The sequence below is a fragment of the Homo sapiens genome, chromosome 10 (genome assembly GCF_000001405.40).
Source record: "Homo sapiens chromosome 10, GRCh38.p14 Primary Assembly".
NCBI lineage: Eukaryota > Metazoa > Chordata > Mammalia > Primates > Hominidae > Homo > Homo sapiens.
Genome location: NC_000010.11, coordinates 76,018,776 through 76,045,366, shown reverse-complemented (window position 1 = coordinate 76,045,366; position 26,591 = coordinate 76,018,776). Strand labels below are relative to the sequence as shown.

The 26,591-nt window shown below is 43.5% G+C and overlaps 1 protein-coding gene across 3 annotated transcripts in view, besides 1 other annotated feature; it reads right to left on the bottom strand.

The window, feature by feature from the left end:
- LRMDA (leucine rich melanocyte differentiation associated) overlaps positions 1-26,591 on the bottom strand; it is a 1,128,545-nt gene that overhangs the window by 514,802 nt on the left and 587,152 nt on the right. For all 3 annotated transcript variants that reach the window (NR_131178.2, NM_001305581.2, NM_032024.5), the window contains one exon: positions 9,233-9,359. Coding sequence is in view for 2 of the 3 variants with exons in the window: in NM_001305581.2 (NP_001292510.1) it covers positions 9,233-9,359 (127 nt within the window). In the remaining variant the exon portion in view is untranslated. The remainder of the gene's footprint in view (positions 1-9,232; positions 9,360-26,591) is intronic.
- Positions 7,236-11,222: an enhancer, noted in NCBI's record as "VISTA enhancer hs1679". NCBI's record gives its function as "enhancer in: neural tube[6/6] | heart[4/6] | other[4/6]" and the evidence as "EXISTENCE:transgenic organism evidence [ECO:0001131][PMID:17130149]".

The following is a 26,591-nucleotide window of genomic DNA, read 5'->3' as shown; positions in this document are numbered from 1 at the left end:
AGGGAGAAACTAGCAAGAGGAGGAAACTAACAAGAGGGGGAAACTAGCAAGAGAGGGGGAAACTGGCAAGAGAGGGAAACTAACCAGAGAGGGGGAAACTAGCAAGAGAGGGAAACTAACCAGAGGGGGAAACTAGCAAGAGAGGGAAACTAACCAGAGGGCGAAACTAGCAAGAGAGGGAAACTAACCAGAGGGCGAAACTAGCAAGACAGGGTAAAGTAGCAAGAGAGGGGGAAACTAGCAAGGGAGGGGAAAAACTAGCAAGAATAGGTAAACTAGCAAGAGAGGGGGAAACTAACAAAGGAGGGGAAAAACTAGCAAGAGAAGGTAAACTAGCAAGAGAGGGGGAAACTAGCAAGAGAGGGGAAAAACTAGCAAGGGAGGGGAAAGTAGCAAGAGAAGGGGAAACAAGCAAGAGGGGGAAACTAACAAGAGAGGGGAAACTAGCAAGAGAGGGAAACTAGCAAGAGGGGAAACTAGCAAAAGAAAGTTGTGAGCACACTCATTTGCTGTTGGCTTCAATTCACCAACATCCTCCCTGCTTCCCAAACAAAGACAGAGAAATAGACATGGAAGTTTGTTTTCAATCTCTCAAATCTTTCACAAATAACATCCAGAGATGGCCATACAGGAACACTAGAATGAGGAGGTGAGAATGGGAGTTCATATAGAGACTGGAGAGAAGGTCCCACACCAGGGGGATGAGGTTGGGAGTACAGAGGGGTGGGTGGCCAGGAATCAAAATCCCTGGAGACAAAATACACTTACTAAAGTTCAATCATCATACTCTTCAGGAAAATTATTTAAATAGAGCCAATTAAAATGACAGTGAACAATTCCAGGGTAAGTTCAGCTTTTCTAGCAGTTTCTATCTTTAAATACTTCACAGTCATTACTACAACAACAAAAGAAAAAAAAAAAAAAAAACAAAGAAAAAAGTCTCATTGCTAGTATTGCCCTTAGATATGGGCACAGACACCTCAGGTGCCCTGTGCTTTCAAGTACCTTCCTCAGAATGTCCTAAGTCCCCTTCCAATACCCAGGACTGGATGGTGTCATTCAGGTAGAGTACCCCAGGCCTGGACCTAGACCCGGACCTGCACGGGCCTCAGTCCCAGGCTTGGTTTCTCCCCTTCATGGTTTGCTCCAACTTTCTAGCCCACCCATGCGACCCATCAGATGCTCCAAGGAGCACTAGAACTCATGTCTGGATCAGGCTGTCTTAAAACCTCAAGGCCAGGCCCTTGTTCCAGGAAGGACAGCCAGACAAGCTGACTACTGCTTCTGGCCAGCACAGTATTTCTTTTGTGGGACTGCAAGAAAGTGGGCTACCAGAATGGTGCTGACATACTGACTTGGAGTGATTCTAATTATTTACGTAGACAAGGGCCCTACACGACTGAGGGAAGCCCTCTCTACTGCAGATGGAAAGCCCGGACCAAAACCTACTTTCCTCTTAGGAAACATTCCTCAAAGCTTGGCTCTTTTTTCTGTCTGCTGTATGAAGGTGGGGATATGCAGGAATGGAACCCCAAACTGGCAAGGCTTTTAAGTTGAGGAAATATTGGGAAACTGAGTTGGATTGAAATGCCAGTCATTTCTCAACATTTAATGACGAGTGAAGGAAGCCTAGCTGGCCACCATGTTCGGGGAAGTAGGCCTAGATTAAGTTGAGTGAACCTTCACTTGTAGATCTACCATGGAGCTAATAAAGCTCATGCGTCAAGGGTTTCTTGTTTGCATAGGCCCCTTCCAAGGCCCTGGGAAAGACCCTGGTAATAGAGTCACATGATCATGTGATTTTTTTTTTTTTTAATTTGAAAAAGTAGGTAATTTACACTATAATCTGTGGAGATCACTGTCTCGCTCCACTAGGACTTCTACCACATTTTCCCTTCAGCTGAGTAACAATGGGAATGTCTATGGGAATCCCCACCTAAGGGTACATTGTGTAGGAGTAACATTTAATTATGATTCAGTGGGGGAATATTTGTATAATTTGCAGTCACTTCTGTGTCTAGTTAAATTCTTCCAACAGTATCAGTAGGAATGGCTTCCAGTAATACTCTTACTATCCACCATATTAACACAAATATGCAGGGACCAACATAAAACTGATGGCAAAATGATTAACAAACTCATTCATCAATTCAAAGAACATTTAAGATTCAGTTGTTAAGTGTATGTATACATGCCTACACATCAACACACACACAACTTAAAATGTCCTGAAATCTTTTTTTTTGAGACAGAGTCTCACTCTGTCGCCCAGGCTGGAGTGCAATGGCGTGATCTCGGCTCACTGCAACCTCTGCCTCCTGGGTTCGTCTCGAACTCCTAATCTCAGGAGATCCACCTGCCTCGGCCTCCCAAAGTTCTGGGATTACAGGTGTGAGCCACTGTGCCCGGCCAAAATGTCCTGAAATCTTATACAGCTCCTATCATATATGAAAGAAATGTGTAAGAGTTTCTCCAAAATGTAATAATCCTAAAAGTTTTACCAATAATTTAGTGGTGAAACTACCAATAACAAATGGTGAAACTGAAAGAAACATTTCTAAACTATTTTAAAAAATCAATTTTCGATCAACCATGCTAAAAGAGGGAATTATCTATTCTCTCTAGAAAAAAATTACAAAATTTCACCAAATAATGAAACTATGAGAAATTTGCAGGAAAAAAGTTTCTCTAGAGGCATATCTTCAATAAAGATTGATACTTTTCTAGGTATTTTGACATTTGTGAAATTTATCAACTTAAAATTTTAAAATTTCCTTTGATACAGTTCTATTCCAAATAAACATTCATTTCATACCTAATTTTGCATTCCTGATTATATAGTATTTAAGAGGGCTCCCTCAAATTACAGAGGTTTCACACTCCCCAAACCTGGATCTGTCCCTGGCCACAAAGAAGTGGATCATTTGAATGCTCTGATCATGGGACTTTCCTGGGCAAGGGGTCTGCAGGTTCCAAGAAGCTTCAGCCATCCTTTGCCAATGAATCAAAGAGATTTCTAAGAGCCTGCCTGCTTTTGGGTATTTTGTATGGCAGAAGCTCCATCTTCCTAAGCCTTTCAACTACCTACTATAAATGATACTTTTGGCTGAGTCAGGTGGTCTCCCCCAAATCCACACCAGGCAGGAAGCACTAGCACCTCCTCCCTGCATGCATGCTCTAGACCAGTCCTTCGCCTTTATGCTGATAGCACCACCAGAGGATAAAACATGAGAAGTTTTAATTGGTTTCTTTGTCTCCTGGGTCAGCAAGGACAAACACAGCCTTATGTTGGCTGGTTTTGAGATCCAACATAGAACTTCTCACATTTCTTTTTTGTCAAGATGCATAGAAAATTGACCACAGGCAATCTGTGGAAGAAACCTGGTGTCCCTGGCTAATCAAGACCACTGCAGTGGGGATCATTTCAGGGATTCTCCTAAGGGTACCTTTTTTAAAAATGTGTAGCTACCTGGCACAGTTTCAACTCTCTCCAGCTGGGTTCCCGGCACACACCTGGTTTCCCTTATCAAGTCTTCTCCGGGGTACTTAGCGTTGAGATTTTTTTTCAGTGTTGTCTGCAGAAAGTTGCCATTGCAGAGCCCAGCTGTCATGGGGAGGCTTGCCAAAGGAGATTTTCTGCAGAGGGCCCAAGATCAAAGCAGCATCTTGCCTTGAAAGTTTGGAGCATGAGGGAGGAGGGAAGCCTCCTAGCCTGTGTCCAGTTGTGCGGGTCCAAAGCTGTCCCAGGTGAGAATGGACACATCCCTCCCTCTGGGCTCAGCTGCGGGTTAAAGGGCAACCTCCATAACCACTGGGATGATTTTAACCACAGCTAATCCTAATACTGGGTTTTTGAATACTAAATATACAGCATAATGACATACCTCATTTTTATTCACATATGTCAGAAATTTATCATGCTGAAATAACAATTAAGGAAACGGGTTAACGGTCACACAGCTAGTACATGATAGAGTCTGGATTTAAACCCAGATCTTAAAGAAACTGCATTTCTAGAGGAAAAAGTGACTTATAATTTCCTAACACAAAAGCAAAATTTAAAACACTGGAACATGAGGGTTCTTACATGTTTCTGTGTGACAGCACAGGTGCCATCACCGGGCTATGTGCTGTACCTCAGATCCTTCCTTCCAATTTGGGCTACTTCTTTTGACGCATCGAGGCATTGGCTAACAGTAAAATATGCCAAGAAATTGTAAAGTCTTTAACAAAGTGATTTCCTACATATTATACCATTTAAACCTCTCAACAATATGCTGAAGTTTGTGTTAACCATTTTATAAAGAAACTGAGGCCCCTGACAAGGTACAGAGACTTTCCTAAGATGACACAGCAAATCGTTCCTAAGATGACACAGCAAATGGCTATGGGAACTCCAGTCCCACCTCTGACTCGCTGGAGTGGTCTCCGTGCCACAGCCCAGCTGTGTAACATGTAGCACCATTCTTTCTTCGTGCTGGCACTATAATCCAAACTCATTGGCTATTCAGTACATGTGCTGAAGCAAATAGGGAGACAGAAGATGAAGTGTGATTCCAAATAAAATCTGCTTATGTGCCCCCCACACACCCCAAAAGGAAAGTGGGGGAGAATCATTTGATTGCGCAAAGGTTATCTACACTTTCCTGAATTTTCAGGTGGTCAACCTTACTTGGGGTTGATTATTCAGACATGATATGGCTGAGACCATTACCAAATATCCCACCCCTCCTGGTGGAAGAGTTGGGGATGGCGTGTGCATGCTCGTGGTTGGGTGTGAGAGAGAGAGAGAGAGAAAGAGTGTGAGCAGTGGGGAAGGGGTTCAAGTCCATAGCCAGTGACTACCTGGCCAGTCTCAATGAAACAAAGAAAGAAAATGAGATCCCTACGAACCAAGAGATGAGGTAATCTCAGACAACCAGGCTTTCAGATATACCAGAGCAGGATATCAACACGAGGGCTGAACACAATGAGAAAAAGGGCTGGTGGAAAAAGATGGGAGGTCCAGCAGGAGGTATGCAGATGGCAGGGAGGCATTGACTGATGAACACAGAAGAAATTTTCCAGATGCTGGTTCTGGGCTCTGGAATCCCTTTTAAGAGCAGACTCCCAGCAGCCCCAGCTGGGAGCAGGACCTTGCAGAGGCAGGCTCAGGATGCTGACTCCTCCTGTATCTTGGCTCCTCTCCTTGTACAATGATTGCCGCTCCTTTGGGTTTCAGAGTCTGGAGCTGGGAATCAGCATACCTGGGTTCTAGACTAAGCCCCACTACTGACAATCTATGTGACTTCAGAGAGCTCATCCACTCCTAGTTTTTCCATAAAAATGAGAGTAATTATTCACCAACAGTACCCAACTCACGGAATGCCATTAGGGCAATATTAAATTATGCAAGTCAAAGAACCATTCTAAACTCAGAAGTATATCTGTACTCTGGCCTTGGTTACAATGTGGCCCAAGTCAAACCAGATGAGTTTACACAATTCTCTAGGATAATAACAACAACAATAATAGTAACCCTTACATAGCACTTACTATGTTACTAGAATCTAATATGTCTGAGATACTTAGAATAATCTTCAAAACAACCTATGGGATGGGTACTAGCATTGTCTGCATTTTCAAAGGAAACCAAAACATAGAGATGTTAAATCACTTGCCCAAGGTCATGCAGAAAAGTGGCAGGTTTAGGGTAGAAGCTCAGGAAGTCTGCCTTCAGAGCCTGTTGTTCTTAACCACTATGTGATAATCCCTCTTGCTAAAGGATTAAAGAAGCCAATGACCCAAGTGTCCAGGGTCTAGGAACCTACAGCATTATTATAGACACATTTAACTTTGAGTCAAACCAAAGTGGAAAAATCTAGATTTTACATGGTAGGTGGGGTGAATAACCATTTTACATATGCCAAAATACAAACCAAAAAAATTTAAAATAAAGCTAACTTCACAAAAGGATTCAAGATAAAACCTCATTTGGCAGCAAGCTTCCTAACTTGTTTAAAGATTCAATTTACACAAAAGAGCTAATACTTTTTTAGGAGGCCAATAGTTACTTGTTTCTAGGGCTCCCTTTATCACAAATATAAAGTAAAATCTGAAGGAGACAAGATGCCAATGCCAAGGTCTCCTGGGTAGATTGTTACAGAAATGAATTATGCTTCTTTATACATACACCCTGTGCAGTCCCTTCCCATATTTGTTCTACAGTTGGTATGTGACTTGCTTTGGTCATGGGACATTAACACATGATATAAGTTGAACTTGAAGACTACTTGTACTATGGGGCTTGTGCTGTTAGAATACTCCTCCCATGTGAAGTGTCTTATGCTAGCCTGTTAAGAGACAGGTAGTTTAGCCAACACCCAGTACCAACCTCCAGACATATGAGTGAGGTCATCTTAGACCATCCAGCCCCAGTTGAGCCTCCAGGTAGATGTGGCTGCATGACTGACCCAGAATAAGACTAGCAGAAGAACCATCCTGCTGAGCCCTGGCCAAACATCTGATCTATAGAATTGTAAATATTTGTTGTTTTAAGCCACTAAATGTTGGGGTGGATTATTATGCAGCAAAAGCTAATGTATAGAGGCCATATCTAAAGCATTTCATGGGGTGGCAATAACAATATGGAACCTAGAAATTGTTGGAAAGCCTGCAACATTCTCACAGTTAGGTAGGAGAGTCATTTAGCTGAAAAAGTGGCATCAGAAGTGCTGGGTTGAGAAGATAGCATGTGCTGTTATTGCCTGATTTTACCTACCTTTCTCTGTGACTTCTGAGTCAAGTAGATGGGGAAGATGATCTTCACAATCACATTAGTAGAGCAGAGGAGAAAAAAGGAAAGAAGTCTATTCAGAATATTCACTGATAAGAAAATGTGCTACAACAGCACCAGTGATATCACTGGTCAGGTTTACAGCCACACAGTGTCTTCTGCTTCGGTCCCTCCTAGGCCATTACCATTACTCCCTTAGCATTACTGCTACAGATTGGAAAAGTGGAGGCACAGAATAGGGAAAGGACTCAACCAAAGACAAAGAAAACCTCTCAGCACTCTGAAGCCAAGAGGCCTGCTTATCTCTGGTGACAGCAATACTGTGAATAAAACCATCGACCAGTCCAACATATTTCTTTAAAAATGAGAAAAAGAAGCTCACAGAAGATAACTTGTCCAAGGTCACACCGCTAAATATGATTAAGCTGAGACATGAACCAAAGTCCATGGACCCTAATATTCTACGGAGACCTGGGACACAGGACATGTCTAAAAATCCTTCTGTCCTTGATTTATTTGAGAATATTGGCCAACTGATCATCTAAGACAGCCTAGAAAGCCATAAGACTACAAAGTTTTTCAAAGAGTGATTGGGAAACTTGGTTGACTAACAGACATAAGAAGGGAAAATTCCACCAAAATTTCATTATGACAAAGACTGTGAATTTACATGTAGGCCCTCCCCTTCTACTTCTATCAAAGTGACAATAATGACCACAAGGAGCATATTTATAATACTATGGTCTGAATGTTTGTTCTTCCCTCAAATTCATATGTTGAAATTCTAATCCCCAAAATGATGGTATGTGGAGATGAGGCCTTTGGGAGGTGATTAGGTCATAAGGGTAGATCTCTCTGATGGGATCAGTGCCCCTATAAGGAGAGACTTGAAAAAGCTTGCTTCCTCTCTCTCTGCTATGTGATGATACAGTGAGAAAGTATCTTCACCAAGAAACCAACCCTGCTGGCATCCTGATCTCAAACCTCCAGCCTCCAGACTGTGAGAAATAAATGTTTGTTGTTTAAGCCACCTCATGTACGGTACTGTGCTGTAGCAGCAAGAGCTGACTGAGACAATATCTGAGAGAATAAAGAAAACATTAACTTATGGCTTGAAGTATAAACAGTAGCTAACAAATACTTCTGCAAATCATTCTTAAATGCTGGCATATGCATATGTGCCAAGCCTTACATGTATATCTGATTTTATTTTATACTCTAGAGGAAAATGCCTTGTCTCCTTTTCTATTTCTAACTTATTGTATGAATGTGAACAAGTGGTTTAACTACTCCAGGTCTCAAATGTTCCATCCAATAAAACAAAGCCATTGGACCACTGAGTCTGAAGCAACACAGTAGAATGCAGACATTGGACTTTGGACACAACACAGTTGACACTGAATCATCCAGGACCTAGCATCTTGCTAGTGTCTGGCTGTGTGCCTACACCTCACCTCTTTCTATGTCTAGGTAAATGGAAAAGACACACCCTTCTCACAGGGCTTGGTAAGGATGAATAACAACACACATAAAGAACCCAGCACCATGCCTCATTCCTAGGAGTGCTCAATAAGGAATAGCTAATGATAATGATGCATTCATCCCTCAAATATTTATTGAGCTTGTACTTGGTGCCAGGCACTATTCTTAGTGTGAAGAACAGAGGAGTTAACAAAACCAAGGAAACTCCCTGTCCCATCGAGCTGGCATTCTAGTGCCGGGTAATCCACTACACTAACAATGCAGGAGCTACGGGCCTTAGGTTGCAGCAAGGGTTCCCTGTTTCCATCCCCACTACAGAATCCAGAGCAGTTAGTGCCCGTAAGTCTCACCCTAGGCTGACTAGGTCCTTGCCTCCATAGAGGAGGCCATACACTGTCGTGGGTCCCCTAGGCCTCTCATCACCAGAGCATGGTATCCCCCAGTGAGGGCATAGCCAGGCCTGGGCTTCACATGTCTCTGCCACCTTAGCTCCTTTCCCTCACCAAAACGGTTCCCCAAGCCTGCCCCAGAGCCTTCCAGAAACCTCCCAGGAGAGGAAGTTTGCTTGGCGGCATTACCCGGGACTTCCCACCAGAGGTCGCCCTCCCACACAAGCCCAAGCAAACAGACTGGGCTTCGCTGCCTCTGCAGCGGTGACATTATTTTCTTTCTCTATTTTTATCTATTAAAAAGATTTCTTCACAGCCATAACTTAGATCTCTACACTAAAATGGAGCAACAGGAAGATATAATGGTGCGTTTCATTTATGAATGACCTATAATAAATTACTCTGAAGTGTCCCGAGTGCCAGAAGACAGAATGCTTTGTCTGCCCACGAACTGTATTTCACATACTTTAATTTAGCTGACACGTAAAACTCATTTGACATTTTGCAGGTATTTGTGCAGGGTGGGGTTGGGGGACGACTGTGGGGCTGGGTGGGGAGTGGGGGCAGCGGGCAGAGGAAAGGATATTCGGTTCTTGTTGAGGGTTAAGGTATGCAGTCTGGGTAACCCTGGCAACACAAGGTCGTCCCCCAGCTGATTGTTGTCCAAGATGAGTTCCTCCAGGCTCCTGAATGCGCTCAGTCCTTCCAGTGACCTGCAATGACAAAGGCAACAGGAAAAATGATCCTGCACTAAATCAGGGAGGCCATTATGAGCCGAAATAAATATTTTAACCTTCCCTTTCAGGACTGGGAATAGTTTGGGCTTGGTGCCTGTCAGCAAAGTGAATGACAAGAATTAGTAGCAGGAGTCGGGGCGGGGGCGGCGGGGGAGAAGGGGCCGCTGGCACCCACCGCATCCTTCACGCATTGCCAACATGAAGGATGAGGGTCACTTAGTGAGTAGCCAGGATCCAAAACAAAGGGCTTCAGATACGGCCTGCAGGATAAATTTGTCAATGTCTTGTGCCTTCAGGCACCCAGCCTCGGCTGACCCTAACCTCCATTCCCAAGATAAATAACTCTGTCACAGTTCACCTTCATTCCCTGGACACAAATTCAAGTTGTCATCCATCATTCCTGCCCAGAAATATCATACCCTCTTACAATAATAAATATAACTTCAAGTATCATTTCTTAGCAGTTCTCTGTACAGTCGCGGGGGAAACGACAGGGAAGGCTTCCTTTCTCTCCGTTCACATCCTTTGACTTTTTTTTTTCCTCTGCCTTTTTTCTTTACTAATCACTTAATTTGCTTCTGCCCAGCGTCCCAGTGGCTGCCCCAAAGGCAAGGCATCTGCAGAATTACATAATCACTCCGATCTGAGAGGGCTTTTTCTTTTATTATTTCTTTTTATTTGTTTTTGCTGCGGGTGGGGAGACGGGGGTTGGGAGAATTGCTGCTTCAAAGCTCCTGGCCTGAAGTTACTGTTTTAATTTATGGAAAGTGGATTTCTCACTTAATTTTTGAAAGAAGTGTAGAGTGCAACCCTGTAGATGTTGAGGCAGTAAATAAAAAGGCAACAGAAAGAATTAAGTACCCGGCTCCAGGAAAAAAAAAAAAAAACAGCAGAAAGGGAAAAATAGCCTTGCTTATACACATCGCTGAAAGTTAACTCTTAATTTTATGGGCTCTCATGAGTGTTGGGGGTGGAGGTGACACGAGGTAGTTGTGCACAAGTGCTTGCCTGGGCGCACACAGACATTAATTAAAGCAAGCCGGCCGGCAGAGGGGCTTACACAGAGACACAGACTCCCAGCTCGTTCACCTGCCAGACCCAGGAGATGTGCTGAGCCTGCACCGGCTGACAGCTGAGCTACGATGTGGACGGGAGGGAGACACGTAGGGGATGCCGGGCTATTCTATAAAATGTGACAAATCAGGGAGATGTCGTCCACACTATTTATTCATTTACTGATAGTGCTTCCATTACAGCCCCGTGTGCTTGCGTGTGCAATGTCTGCACATCTGCTGTGAGTGTGAACTTCAGCACCAGATCTTTCCCAAGGCATCCATAGCTCCCTTGTGGGATCGCTGCCAAGAGGACTCCAAAATAGGGAGTCAATACTTACGAGGTATAAAAATGTGTTGTAAGTAATTAAATCTGTAGATACCACTGGGCCCAGAGCTCTGCCGGCATGTTCCATTCCTGCCAGACCTCGGGGTGGTCCCACTCAGGACTCGACTCCCAGAGCACGCCTGCTCCTCCAACCAACACTGCCAGCCCCACCGAGGGGGGACACATTTTGGAGTAGGGGTCCAGAGGTCATCGTGTTTCATTTCCTCCTCCTTTCTCTTTTTCCTCTTGGTTCCGAGAGGCAAAACACAACTTGTGAGGATAAATGCTTGAAGGGCTGGATATCCCATTTATCCTGATGTGATGATTACACATTGCCTGCCTGTATCAAAATATGTCATGTGACCCATAAATATCTACACCTCTTATGTACCCACAAAAAATACAAACAAAAAAAAAATTTAAAAACCCACAATGTACGCACATCTAGGCAGGAAGGTTTGGGACTTTGCCTCCGCTCCTCTATTTCCTGTTGTGTGAATTTGGGCCTGTCAATAGCCCATCTGAACTCTCCTGTTCTGTGTTCCTTCCAGCTCATAGGATCTTGTCGAGAATAAGTGAAGGACGGCTAACTGGTTACTAGCATACGCTGTTTTTTTTTTCTTTTCCTTCCTCCTTTTATTCACTGTTTTGTTTCCAGACGCCCTGACCCTGGGGGTGTGTTTGGAATGCAGGGGACGGGCCCATGAACAAACCCACAGAGGAGGCGTGCAGCAAGTCAGGCTTGTGCAGGGGACTTTCGGGCTCTTCTGAAGTCCCTTCCTCCACTAGGGGTTAGGGAGTGATGTGCCAAAAGGCTTCTCAGGACTGGGCCCGTTTACCACTAGGGGAGGTGAGGCCACTTCCCCTTAGGGAGCCTTACGGGTGGTTAATAATTCCTTTGTGCACAAACATCAGTTGGACTCCGCTCAAAGGCAGCATCCAAATACACATTGTTCCTGAGTTACGTTATGCAAATATTAGATTCTTCTGATGAGAATCAGCAAATGGTTGGCAACTGGCAAGCAGAAGAAAGCTCCTTTCCAAGAGTGCTCCAGGGAGGCATAAAGCAAAACGACACAGCATGAAGATGGGGAGAGCCCAGGAGCACCAAGGAAGCGCCCACCTCCATCCAGCCAGCCTTTCTTCCCCTCAGGGTGGGCTATGGGGCAGAAATCCACGCCAGAGTGAGACTTCCCAGAAGAGCTGGTAAGATCAGTCTCAAATCCCCTGTCACCTGTCTGGTTTTGAGACTCTTTTTGCTATGTGACGTTATTAGCTGCTCAGTAAAAAGAGAACCATATTACATGGGTGATTGCTAATGAATAAATCCTTGTTTTCATGTTATCAGTGTGGTGTGCTCCTGGGGATTTAATCATCTAGATCCAGAGCTGAGGGCTGGGGCACAGAAGTCAGGGGGCAGAGAGCATAGTAAATGGGAGTACTGGGGAAGATAGGTTTTGGGGGTCCCAGCTGACACGTGGACGACAATACACATACACCTAGAATGAGGTGGCTTTACCCTTTATTTATTTTTTTTTTACTGTTATTTTTACTGCTGTTTTCTAGGGAGGAATAGGAGAAAAAATATGTGTGTAGATCTTTGAGTTCATTCCCCTATATGCCAGGTGCCTGCAAATATGTGCTGTTAAATAAAATGACAATTTGTCTGCTATCACCTTGTGTATGGACAGCAAAATGCACCCCAAAACCAGATCCCCGGTGGAGACGCCAACTGTCAGTCCAGCATCACTCACCAGCTTCCTGGAGTAGTGCGATGTCTGAGGTATGGGCTGGGGGCTGATAGGAGAGAGCAAGGTTCACCCAGGACCTAGGCACAGCCAGCTGGAGGGAGATCATCCAGGCCTGGATTGTTCTGGAAACCTAATCAGCACCCCTGGAACTCCCTGCAGGCTGCCTGCCTCCCCCTCCACCAGCAGCAACGCAGCCAGGATCTCACACACAGGTACCATCCTCTTACCTCCTTCCCTCGTTCCCAGGGCTCTGCCTGGGCTCCCCCAGGAGCTGCAGCGGCTGCTGGGAGCATCCCAGTGCCTTTTCCAAAGTCACATCAAAATGACAAAACATCACAACGCATTGGGCTCCAGTGGATTCAAACGGAGAGAACTTTTAAGTTTCCACTGTAATTAACCCTATCCTCGTTAAGATAATTATGATCAAGCTTCCTGTCAGAGTTAATATCCCAACATCATCGCCTGTGGCTCACACTCTGCCCTCATTAGCTTATGAAAACAGCAGCGCCGAACAGGCGTGCAGCCCTGCCCAGGCCAGGCCAGTGGCTGGCATGGGGGGGCCATGGGTAGGGGGCCAGGGGCCCCACAGAAGGGCCGCCCCTTGAGGCCCAGTCCCTTCTGCTCCTGGGTGGGCACAAATCAGTGACCTTCATCCTTTCCCTGCAAATGAGCCACTCACCAGAATGGAGGGGAAGAGCCAGGGCCCGGGCCCAGGTAGGGCTGGCAGCCTTGGGCAGGAGCCTCTAATTTGTAGCCATTCCTCCCTGCCCCTTGCCCAGCCAAAAACCAGCCAGAACATTGTACCATAAAAACCACCAGAGGATACTTCCAGAACCCCTGGATCAATCCTTGGATCTAGGCTGTGCTAAGAATTCGATCTCTCCTCCCTCAGCTCCAGCCTATACCAGGGGTGACAGAGCTGCACCAACATGAGATGGGCAGCGAACATGGGGAATAGCTGACCACAGACCCTAAAACAAAAGCATCTGTCTCTTTGGGACTATATTTGGCCCCAAATCCAGGAGCAAAGGCTGGGATGTTCTCAAACCAATCAAGAAAGCAAGATCTCCACAAAGATCTTTACCTACTTCCTCGACTCTAAATATCCCTGCCCATATTTTTAATTGAGAAAATGGTGTGGCCATGGAAGTTCTAAAGGGCCTAACCTGGGTCTGATGTCTACTACCCTGGCTAGGCCCCCAGACCTGCAAGGGCTGGCTGCTGCCTGTTCTGTATGGATCTCTCTGATGATTTCTGTCTGCCCAGGCCCCTCTAAGAGGGGATCTCCATGCAGCCTCCATACTCCTAGAAAGCTGTTAAGTGTACAGTGAGGGCTCGGTACTGCCTCATCCACTGAGCACTGTTCAGCCAAAACCTGGGAGTGTCTAAGAAAAAAACGGCCAATAAATCCAAGCATGGGACAGACAGCAGGACCAGCACACTGGCCAGTGGCAAGGAGGGCAGCCTCTAGACTCGTATTCTTTCAGAGGCCAGAATGCCTCCTCATGGTTTCCCTGGGGCCATGTGGCTAAGATCAGGAAAGAGTAACATTCAGCAAGTCTGCATGGGTATACCAGTTCTCATTATTAAAATATTTAAATACTTCCTTCAGTAGGTAAATAATTGCAGCTCTGAGTGCCCTTCCTGCTACCCTGGCCATTCCTTGGCACCCCCAGACCTCTTCATAATCCAGAAACTAGGAGGCCAATGCCCACTACAGCCCAGGGCTACCATAGACCCTGCTCCAGCCAGCATCAATTCTAATTGGACAGTGCAGTTGTTAAATTGTTTCAACATTACCTTGAGAGCAGAAATAGTAACTTGTTCCTCTCCTATACTCCCCCCACCACTCCAACTGCAGTGCCTGGCACACGGCAGCTCCTTGGGAAATGTCTGTATATCAACTTCCCACAAAGGCATGGCAAAAGCCACAAGGACAGGACAGGTGACCAAAAGCCACCTGGTGGAAAATGAAGGGAGAAAAGAGAGAATTGGTGAGGTATGATGTGACCACTCATCTCCCACTAAATGGTCCAGTGGCAGCACAGTCATTTTTAATTTTTTTAAGATGGAGTCTCACTCTGTCATCAGGCTGGAGTGCAGTGGCACAATCGCAGCTCACTGCAACCTCCGCCTCCCAGGTTCAAGTGATTCTCCTGCCTCCGCCTCCTGAGTAGCTGGGACTACAGGCTTCCGCCACCACGCCCAGCTAATTTTTGTATTTTTAGTAGAGACAGGGTTTCACCATGTTGGCCAGGATGGTCTCAATCTCTTGACCTCATAATCCGCCCCCCTCAGCCTCCCAAAGTGCTGGGATTATGGGTGACATTTTTATACCTATACATTTTTATAATTTGTTTACCTAGTCCTGTAAGAGATATTCTTTTTTCCATAAAACTCTTTTTTATATCCTTAAATGTATGGATAAAGACAGACATAGATACGTAACTCTATATATTACGACATATATTATACATGTTATATATTACTATACATATTATACATGTTGTATATTACTATATACAGTATGTAGAGTTGGCTGTGTGTATTTTTCTGCCATTCAAGTCACATAGCCATACATATATATACACACACACACACACAAATAATTATATAAATCAACTAATCCATACTGTAAGTGTATCAAGATGAATAGAAATGTCTTTAAGAAATAGAAGAACATGAAAAAGGTTCTGGCTAGGGTATGTGAGACAGAGTGTACACTGACATCACAAGGAACTGCATCTAGCCTGGGCGACATAGTAAGACGCCATTTCTAAAACACAAAAAGTAGCCTGGCATGATGGTGTGAGCCTGTAGTCCCAGCTATTCAGGAGGCTGAGGCAAGAGAATCGCTTGAGCCCAGGAGGGCCAGGCTACAGTGAGCTACAGTCATGTCACTGCACTCCAGCCTGGGCAACAGAGCGAGACCTCATTGCTAAACAATAACAACAAAAAAGAAGTAGTGGTTACATGACTTTGGGGTCAAAGTCAACCCCAAAGCTCTATTGAGACCCCAACATGATGGCTAATCCCTGAACTGCAGACAGTAAAATTCAACACTCATCTGAGAGACCTGAATCCAAGACCAGCCAAAAAGCTAAAGTATTAATAGTTAACTAGGTCTGAAGCCCCCTGCACCATATCTAAGAATACTAAGAAAACTTTCAAATATGATGCCTAAAGAATTAGTAATGGAGAATAAGGAGCTAGAAGCCCTTGGAGTTAATGTTACTTGAAAAAGGAGGTAAGAAGGTAGATTCTCCTATTTTGGATACATGAGGTTATATAATTACCCATATGAAATTCTGGTCAGATGATAGCTCTCAGGAACCTGTATTTTCTTGCTGTAGGACAACGTGAATAATGTATCTGATCATGTTATCTTTTTTACTTTTGCTACCAGGAAGCTCAGAGGTAAATTGTGACCCAATTGTAAAAAGGTAATCCTTCATGATATCCATACCTGCTTTCTAACTTCATTGTCAAGGCTTATAATTTTTTCATAGCCTTGGTATTTCATTTATTTATATACTGCTTTTTAATTTTATTCATTCTAATAAGCTAGCCCAAACCTTTCATAGAATGAGGTAGGATATATATCAATAAAATGTAATACAGATTCTCAAACAGGCAGATTCTGTGCATTAAGGAAAAGTTTTGAGAGACCAGTTGTTAATGGAGATACTCATGTAGGAATAAAGAAGATATATATTGTATTCAGAGTTCAAAATGGTTGGCCAGGCATGATGGCTCATGCCTGTAATCCCAGCACTTTGGGAGGCCAAGGAGGGTGGATCATGAGGTCAAGAGATCAAGACCATCCTGGCCAACATGGTGAAACCTCGTCTCTACTAAAAATACAAAAATTAGCTGGGCGTGGTGGCACGTGCCTGTAGTCCCAGCTACTCGGGAGGCTGAGGCAGGAGAATCGCTTGAACCTGGGAGGTGGAGGTTGCAGTGAGCTGAGATCATGCCACTGTACTTCAGCCTGGCGACAGAGTGAGACTCGGCTCAAAAAAAAAAAAAAAAAAGGCTTTGAATAAGCTTCTCATAATATCTTTGTGACAGGAAGCCAAAAAGTAGGCTAGAAAATGACAATCTTAGGTAGAAGTAGAGTCATAACTGCTTCAAAAATGTACCTGAAGAATACTGATTAATGGCTCAAATTGCTCTATGGGTAGATTCTAGGGATTTTGATCTTATTTTTTTGTTTTTTGTTGTTTTTGTTTTTTGCCAGTGGCTTGGTTAAGGAGATGTTTATCACATTTATAGGGGACAGGACCCTAAAGAGATATTAAGAAAGATACAGTAGGATCCAAAATGATCCTGTTAGAATCAACCATTTTTCAGCTCAATAAGATGAAATTTCACAGTGTCTAATGTAAACTAAATAATAAAGTTCAACTATCCAAAAATATTTACTCGAAAAAATTAAAAGGAATATGAAAATTGGGAATATATTTGCAACCCTTCTAACAGTCTAAGATTTAACACCCTTAACATGGAAAGAGCTTTTATAAATCATTAAGGAAAACCTGAAGCCCTAACAGAAAAATGACCAAAAACCTTGGATGGAAAATTCACAAGGAAATTTGTCAATAATAAAAATATGGGAGAAATTTTCAGCTTTATTAGGAATCTAGAATATTCTAATAAAAATATTTATATCCTTTTCTTAGATTTTAACATAGTTTTGTCAAGCTTTTACTTCAAACAAACACAAGACTAATGAGACAGTGAAATTGCTGGATGGCAATTTATATTAAAAGACTTAAAAATAATTACCTTTGCATCCACTAATTCCAATTCCAATAATTTATTCAGTAAATATCAAAGATGTGTATAAGTTTATGTACAAGTATGTTCACTATAGCATTTACAATAACATTGCAAACAAGCCTAAATGCCCAAGGATTGAAGAATGATTAAATAAAGCTCAATATATCTGTATCATAAAATATTACACAGGAATTAAAAATAATATTGTAGGCAGCTATCTAATGAGCCAGTACAATTTTCATGCTATACATTTAAGTACCCCAAATTAAGTCACAATGTAATATAGTACACACACAAAGATCTCATGCATGAAAATTAAAAGTCATCCATATGGTCCTCACCATTTTCCACACAAATTTTAATCTGCACCAAGCTTTTCTGGGCATTTTCTTCCATGTTAATGGTTAAGAATCATCAAAGTCATCTTTCTTAGTTGTTCTAGTTTATAAACTGCTGTTAATATACAATCTTGTACACAGAGACATTATAACAATTCTGTACACACATACACAAACACACTTAAATGTATATATTTATGTGTGTGTGTGTATGTGTGTGATACCTATCTATATCTCCCAGATACATACCGTTAACCCCCAGGTAAGGAGTTTATCAGTCATTTTCAAATAGTTTTCTCTAGCTACTAAATTTTCTATCATGAATATACATTTTATAATCAGGAAAAACCACAGTTAATATTCCTTTTAAATAAAACAAGACAATTCCACATACATAACATGTAGAAGCTTTAGAAAAAGAGCAGTGTCTGGGAAGAGGACTTAGTATGAATCGCCAGTGACCACCACAGAAGCAAATCTGATCCCAATCCACTCTACTACTCTCCTGGCCCCTAAGTGCCTGTGCCTGGAGCTTTGTTTGAATTCCAGGTGCCAGATTCAAAGGTGGATTTGCATTCAGAAACACCATCCAAGGACAACCACCAGGAGGTGAAGGGTGTAAGAAACAGTGATTGAGACAGTCCTAAAGTTGCTTAACCAGGAGCAGAGAAGTCTTAGTCATTTCAAAGTCCTCAGCCTACAGGGTTCCAGAATGCAGAATCAAAAACAAATAGAAAATTATGTAAGCTGGGAGGAAATGTCTTGAATCAATTTTTTGAAACTTGTCAAAATGGAGAAGCTGTTCACTAAAGGATGAGCTGCCCTCAGAGCCACTATACTTATTTGAACAGAGGCTAAAATCATGGAGAATGTTTAGAGGGAATTTCTTCATAGAGATCAGATTCGATGGCTTCTAATATTCTATCCAGATACTATGGTTATCTGACTGGAGCTCCTTCCTTTATAACTATAGTTTATAAGGGCTGTTAAGTCAGTTCTGCTTTGCCAAAGGGTCCCTTAAGAGTCAGTCTGGTAGGAAGAGGGTAGCAGAGTTCCAGCACACTAAACTCTATGCCTCATTCTTCTAGCTGGGACTGTGCAAGGCTTCTTTAATATTTTCCTAACTATGGGAAGGGTGTAACATGTGCCCATAATAAAAAGGCACATGTTTGCACCCTGACCTCTTATAGAAAGTAAACTACATATTAGAGCTACAGCTCTATTTGTGTAAAATATGCCCTATTATAGTCTTCTTATAGACTCATAGACTTTGAATCCTAGAGGAATTTTAGGCTGTTCCACTCTCCCCCTACTTCACAGAAGATGACTAATGTCCAGAGAGGTAAAGTGGCCTACCTGAAAACACACATGAGTCACCAGGCCACATTTAGAACCTGTGTACATAAAGTGCAGTGCTCCCCAACTATGTTAAACTACCTCTACATACTTTCTAGCTGTGGTCCAGAAATGGAAATTCACCATCGCCACATCCTTTATCCAAACACTGTGTGTAGCTTTGTAACCCATTCATTGTACGTCCTCAATTATTAATATAATGATGAACCTAAATGGTTTTCGAGTTCTTTTTCCTTTCACTCTGTACTCCATGGATGCTCCTAGAAGAATCTCCCAAAGAGCTAGTTCTTAGATTTTTTTTTTCCTTTGAAGTTAAGTATGCATTAGGTGGGACTGGCTTGAGATTTATCTGCTAATGATCCCCTTGGGGTACACCTCTATAGCTTGTTCATTCATTCATTTATAAAAATGTATTGAGTGCCAACTCTGTGCTTAGTACTTTGCTAGTCTCTGGAGCTACAAGGATGACTGTGCAATAGTCCCCTACTATTAAGTAGTAGGTATAGACAGGGAAGCAGTTACCAGATAATGCAGGGTAATAGATTGGGATGATTAGTGCTACTCTGAGAAGGGGCTGGGGCTGGTGAAGGAGATGGGCTTGAGCTAAGTCTCAATGCAAATGAATTCTAATCTTTTGAGCATCTGCTGATACCTTATTCCACATTTGGTGGTGAGGGAACATAAGGAAAAGAGATAACTTGATCCTGGCACTCAAGTAAGCTACAGTCCAGAAAGCTGATTTGCTACCAAAAAGCATGTGGTGTGGTATCCATTTCCAACATGACAGGAATTCAGTGAGCACATGCATCTGGGGATACAAATGATGCACAAGTCATGGAATCTGCTCTCAATGCTCTTACCATCTATGAAGGAGACAGAGACGCTGGGCTTGGAATAAGGGGACACCATACAGGACAGCGTATCAGTAAGCAGCATGGATAAGATGAGCTCTGGAAGTTGAGAGGAAAGCAATGAGGGCTGTAGTAAGCCCTTTCTGTTTTTGGCCCATCCCTCCTATGCTTGTCCTGAAGGTATTATAGCAAGTCCCTAAGGACAGAGACAAGGAGCAGGTGTCTCTCCAGGAACATACTAGATGAAGGACAGCCTCCATGTTTTGCTCCCATCATTCTCCTTCTCTGGGCTATCCTCCCTCCTCAAAGCGAATCTTTCCTGTCTTTTTCCCACCCTGGTGACAGGGTTTGGCCTGGGCTTTGACTATGTCTCTGAAATTATTTTGATTCACGGCTTGAGATTTTACAAAACCACACATGCACGCATGGAGCCTGTGGCCTCGGGATCTTGTTTGTTTTTAAGAGTCTAAAGAGTGAGTTTGTTTGGCGGGTTCTATAAATGGGGGTTTTCTTTGCTAGGGAGATGTGAGAGTGGACACGGTGTACCGCAGCCATGGTATGCGTGCACCTCGCCATGGGGCGGAATGCAGAGCCTGGTGGGGGAGGCGCCCACAGCCATTGGGCAAACATATGTTGGGCCAAGAACGCTGCTCTTCAACCTCATGAACTGTTTGCTTGAAAGATAACAGTGTCTCTTCTACACAAGCCTTTCACCACCCTCCATAAAGGGAATTTTTAATTCAACAGATGGTGTCTACTCATTGCAAGCCAACCAGAAAAGGAGACATTTACACGGCTGGATCTCAAAGCCCCAGGGACCCCAAGGGCCCCTAATCAAATACTTGCCCAAAGACCAGCTCCCCACGGGCAGGGCCCCCCTGGAATGGACTCAGGCCAGGAAAGCCAGTAAAAACGTGCCAACTGTTGATTCTGTGAGGTCTTAATTGGCTGAAAAAGGTGAAAACACGTTTTCTGTCCCAGACTACAAGATAGCTTTATGTCTCCAGCAGGAAAGAAGGCCCCAGGAGATATGGTGACCTCCAAAAGTGGCTTGCTACCGGAGCCATTTTCTTTCTTCCAGAATAGCTCTAGCTCTATGGTTCACAAAACCTCTCAAAGAATAATTTGGTGAGCTTTGCTTTCCAGATCCTCTCATGGCATGTCCTGGGCCCTGTGTACTAGCACCTAACAATGTTAGGGACAGAGACGAGATCAACTGTTTCCAGTTGTGCAGCATAGAGAAAAAGAGTTTTTCCCAGCACTGAACCAAGGCTATTTCCTCTGTGTCTGCCTCTCTGGTTATCTGACTGCTGCTCATGGCAGCAGGAAGCCAGTGTGGTGTTTTCATAGGGAATGTGTTGTTCTGATGAGGAATATCTTGTCAACTCAATGAGGCCAAACGCAAATCTAGTTGGTAAACACACAGCATAAGACCACTCCATTGAGTCATGAGCTCTGTTTTCAAGTCCTGGTTTTGTGAGCTAAGACTTTGGAAAAATAACACTTGGAAAATGTAGCTTTCTAATCTTTCAAGGTGGCAGAAAATCCCTGACCTGTCCAATTTGCAGATATCAGAATGGGGATCAGCTGAGATACAGTACATGAAGACAAACCTAGACCAATTGTTGTTTAGCTGAAAGATTGTTTTTGAAAAATAAATGTGCATATTTTCTTTTCAAAGGAAGAAATTAGTTGCCTCAGAAAATGAAGCAGGTCAGTGGCTAAACCTCCAGAAGAAATAGTGATATGTTTCAGAATCATTTGAATGCATGGGGAGATGACAGCTCGGGAGAGCCTCTGTCTTAGGAACAACCAAGGAACCTGATCCAGGTCCTGCCTTGGTTAGCACCTTGCTGCAGTATTTCAGTCAAACCCTTGCCTCCTGTGGGCCTCACTGTACTGTTTTGTAAACTAAGGCGGCTAGGCTAGATTATTTTGGAGGTCTCTTCATTTTTAAACATCCCATGCACCAAAGTGGGTTGCAAGATGAAAACTCGCAAAGTTTTATCATTGCCTTAATTGTTCCACCATTCAGTAAAAAGTTCAGCATGAGACTGGCAGACTATCCCTAACCCTCAGATGGCCAAAAAAAGAGAGCAGGGCATGTTTCAAGCCTCAAGTATGAAATCTGATTAATAAAAACGATCTGGGGGAAGGGGAAAGTTAGGGGAGAAAAGAACTCCCGCCTGCTTTTCTTCATCTTTCAGAGCAACCCAAACTAGGAAATGAGAGGCAAAGCGTCACACGCTCAGAGGGCAAAAGATAAATGTTTGATGAATTGACCATTGGTTGTGAAGTGATGGGCTTTGTATGTGCATAATGGCTGAGCTGCCTTTCCAAGCCGATCGCCTGCCAAGATAAGAAGCCATAATGGATGGATCTTGAGATGCCCTGGACAGAGGCAGCTTTAATTTGACTGGTTTTAATAAAATTAATTCTTAAAAAAAAAAAAAGAAGATGGCAGAAGGAAGAAGACAGTAATTTGAAGAGATCAGAAAGGCTGAGAATTACATATACCGAGAGTAGACATTAACCATTGGTTAATTCATCGCACTAGTCAAGTAAGCAGAAGAAGAAAGTTTGATTTTATTACCTCTATAAGTCATCAAAAAGTTTATAGGTGCCCAGCATTGTCCATTGTCCAGACAGAGATGCTTGAGATACGGAAATTAAACAGCCTGGTTGAATAGAAAGGTACCCTAACAATCACAGACTGGATCCTTCATTCATTTATTTATTCCCCCTACAGCAAATATTTATTGAGCATCCCCTAGCCAGGCCTAGGATGAATAAAATAGGTTTCCTCCCAGCCCACATGGAGCTGGTGGAGCAGTGAGGCCTGGTGGGGAAGGCTTTCCTAGCAAAGTAAGGAAGATTATTCTGGTCTAAGGACTCCTACCATGCTAGGTGCTCTCTGCCAGGCAGCCAGATCTGCACATCCTTGCACTCTGGGCCCTGAGGCTAATTGCCCACTTCTGTATTTACTCCCTGATATGGTGCCTTGGCCCTACATTTGTGTTTGCCTTCACTCAATTGACAAGATCAAGATAGTCTCCATTAGAATAACACGTTGCTTGTGAAAACATCATAAGGCCAAGAGCAGCAATTAGACAGGCAGATGGAAGAAAAGAGCTGCCGTTGAGGCCTAAGAAAAACTCTAGCTGTGCCCATGAGTCAATCACTGGTGGACCTTTGTTTCTTCCGTATGCAAAATGTGGGGTTAGAGCAGGTGACTGGCTCCATCTTTTGACTAACTTTAATTTGAGGCCTCCTATGGATTAGACACTCTGCCAGGCACTAGGAGTACAATCCTGTCCTCCAAAAGCCCCAAATCTCGTGAAACAAGGGCATAAACAGACGACCACTGTTAATGAGATTTCAGTGCTTCTTCTGCTTCCAAGTGACCTTAAAAGGTCTCTAAGATCTCTTCTAATATCCAAATATCTTAAGATTAGTATCCTCACCTCCACTTTTCTTTGACTTTTAACATAAAGTACAGAATTACAAAGAAGTTTGGTTATTCAAGCACTGAAATGGTCACCTTCCATAATATCATGCATTTTTTCCAGTGTCAGGAGGACACTTTTCCTTTCTGCATAGGAAAAAGCGTATGCAAAGCGCAACATTGAAAAAATATCTTCCCCCTGCTCCTGCCTCTGTAGGTATACATTTTTCCATGACTGCAAAAGGAAAGTCACTCATTACTAAACAGCTCAGCAAGGCTCACACTATTGGAGAATATAAAGTTTTATGAGCAGGTCTCTCCTTCTCTCTCTGGGTGTAAGTGAGAAAGTGAGTGAGAGAAAAAGCTGGAGAGGCCTGGCTTAAGAGTCCAGGGTGAATTATAGACTGCCGCTCAAGATTCACAGCTCTTCATGGTAGGAGGTTAATATTCTCACATGTCATTAGGTCTGCTGGCTCTCCTGATGGTTCACTGAAGCAGGCAGCAAATTATTTCCTCATGTTGCAGAGGACAGCACACTTCAAAGCAAGGAAACTCAGGTTAGGACAGGCCTCTGGGTGGATTAATGACTTAGGATCACCATGGGTTGTCTGTAGGTAAGAATGAGCCTGATGCTTTTGACAAAGCTAACTTTTTGATCAGTCTTGACCCAAGCTTTCAAGCCAGACCTCTAGGTTTTATTCCTATCACCTTCTAAGGATCTGCCAAGATCTGCAGAAAGATTGAGTAGTGTGTCTGGTCATTTTATCTTCACTTGAAATGCCCCCACCTGCTCACTATTGACGTGCATCACAACTACGGGTCAAGGTAGAGCCCATTTCCTTGGAGACTTCTCTGTCTGTCCCAAACCCAGCTAACCATGCCTAGACTGAATACCCAAAGGACTTCTATTTGAACACTTTCTCTACCACTGGTCCATGAATTTGGTCTATTGTCCAACTGTCCCAGGTATCTTACTCTTGTCTCCTTGACAATTAATTAAGCTCTGTGACCATGGGCACAATAGGTTATATCTCTTTGCATCCTACTAGCAGGCCCAAATCCCAATCCTGCCTCCTTTCCAGAAGAAAAGTCCAAGAAGAGAGCCAGAAATTTATCTGAAGGCAGCTTGAAAAACATCACTTCTAAAGAGAACACTAACTGAGGGAAAATTGAAGGAAGAGTGATGAAAAGTGAAAGACACTCATAGGAAGGCATGGAAAAACACAAGGTTGACATTCCTCAGGCGCAGAATTGCTAAGTAAGCATATTTAGTGCAAATGTCCACCATAGTCTATATTCTATTCTTTTCAGGTTTTCTGAACAGCAGTGGGGGCTCTCGCTGGGGTCTTCAGCACCATCTTGGAGGTTGCCATGGTGAGGGGATTGGGAGCTGCCAGGGGAACCTGGAGGAGACTCTTCTCACAGGCCCTTTCCAGGCCCCATACCCAGGGCCCCCTGAGCAGGCAGCTTGGACAGGAGTCAGTGGCTGTGGATGCCCAGATGTCCTCACCTTAGAGTGAGGGGCCTGCACTGGGGTTGAAGGAATAAAAAGAACATCAGGCAGCCCCCCATTTCCAATCTGGAGGTTCAAATGGAAGCTTGGGAAAGTGCTTGGCAAACCAGAAAGCACTCAAGAAATGTAAGTGCAGGTGCTTCCAGTTCCAGGCCTGTCTTCGTCCTCTGCCAGACTTAGAAATGTTCTTTTTTGTTTTCTGCTCTTCCCTCCCTATCATTTTCCATAGATCCCCACTCTCTTTCTTCCAAAATACCTTTACCTGCTTTTATGTGACATGTTTTCCTGAACATGCATAGGGAAACCAAATAAAAGCCACATGTGCATATCCATGTACCAAGTATCCACACGCTTATAGTACAGACAGCTGAGAGAAGCAGGGTAGGCGACCCACATCTGGTCCAGTCTGGGTCAGACCCCACCTCAGGCAAAGCTGCCAAGCAGCCCTTCCTCAGCTCACCTTGTGTTTGATGCAGCATCCAGGAAAACACTACTCAGGGGTCAGTGGGCTGAACTCACTACATGAACAGAGCCCTCCCTTATCTGGGCTCAGATTCCTCTGGAGTGGAATCAAGGGGAGTGACCACATCAGACTGTGTAAAAGAGTGGCTCGTGGACCACCTGCACCAGAATCTCCTGAGACTTATCAAAAATTCAGAAGCCCAGGCCCAGCCCTGACTTAGATATCAGGCTCTTTGTGTGTGGATATCCATGATCTAATTCCCCAACTCAAATCTATATCTACTGCAGTAAAAGAACCACTGGGGCCCTCAACTCAAACACATCTTCAGGGTCCAGTCAGGTGACACATTGCATTTCAATGAATCCAAGCTGCACCAATTATAGACACAACATTATTTTATGTACTAGAAAACAAAAAACAACAACACTGTCAATAAAGAATGACCCAAGGTTTTCCTACCTTAAAATGCCTCAGGAACATTCCTTTTTCATATTCTGCTTGTTACTTTGCCAGAAAATATGAACCAAGGTCATTATTTCAATAATAAAGATTTGCTTTATAATGTCAAGTTTATGTTCTTTTTGTTAACACAATAGTTTTGTCTTTCAATGCCAAATCATGATGAGTTCATAAATGACATGTGAAGTACCAAAAATCTGTATAAGTCAACTGCAGCAAAGATAATAAGAACCACCATGACCAATTCAAGTGTGCACTAATAACAGCAACTCCATCACAGCTGCCTCCTGGTCAGTGACAATTTCAAGAATCCATCAATTTTGAGATGGATTCAGGTATGCTAACATGTAAAAGAAATGTACATCTTAGAAATGCTGCAATACAACAAATGCACATATGACAATAAGGAGTGGCGAGGACTGAAGGAATCAGAGAGCACACACTCTACTGAGTGACAGCCATATTAGCATTTGTGCTGTCCACAAACACCACAGTGAGCTGCACCCGGCCCGAGGGTAAGATGACCATAAAATTTGCTGTCTAAATTGGGATACTTCCTAGAATAAAGGGGACACTACTACTGATTATGCCAGGAAAATGGCGTAAACTAAAACTGTCCTGGGCAAACTGTGATGAAAGTTACCCTACCTATTTGCCAGCAAACAGTAACCCCTTGGTAACATAATCACAATAGCTGAACAATCTGAACATTTAAAATCTGTAAGATTATGCATTGATTGAAGCTTCTTTTCACTTTATGTCTTAAGAGTCTCCAGGGCCAGGCACGGTGGCTCACTCACGCCTATAATCCCAGCAATTTGCGAGGCCAAGACAGGTGGATCACGAGGTAAAGAGATCAAGACCATCCTG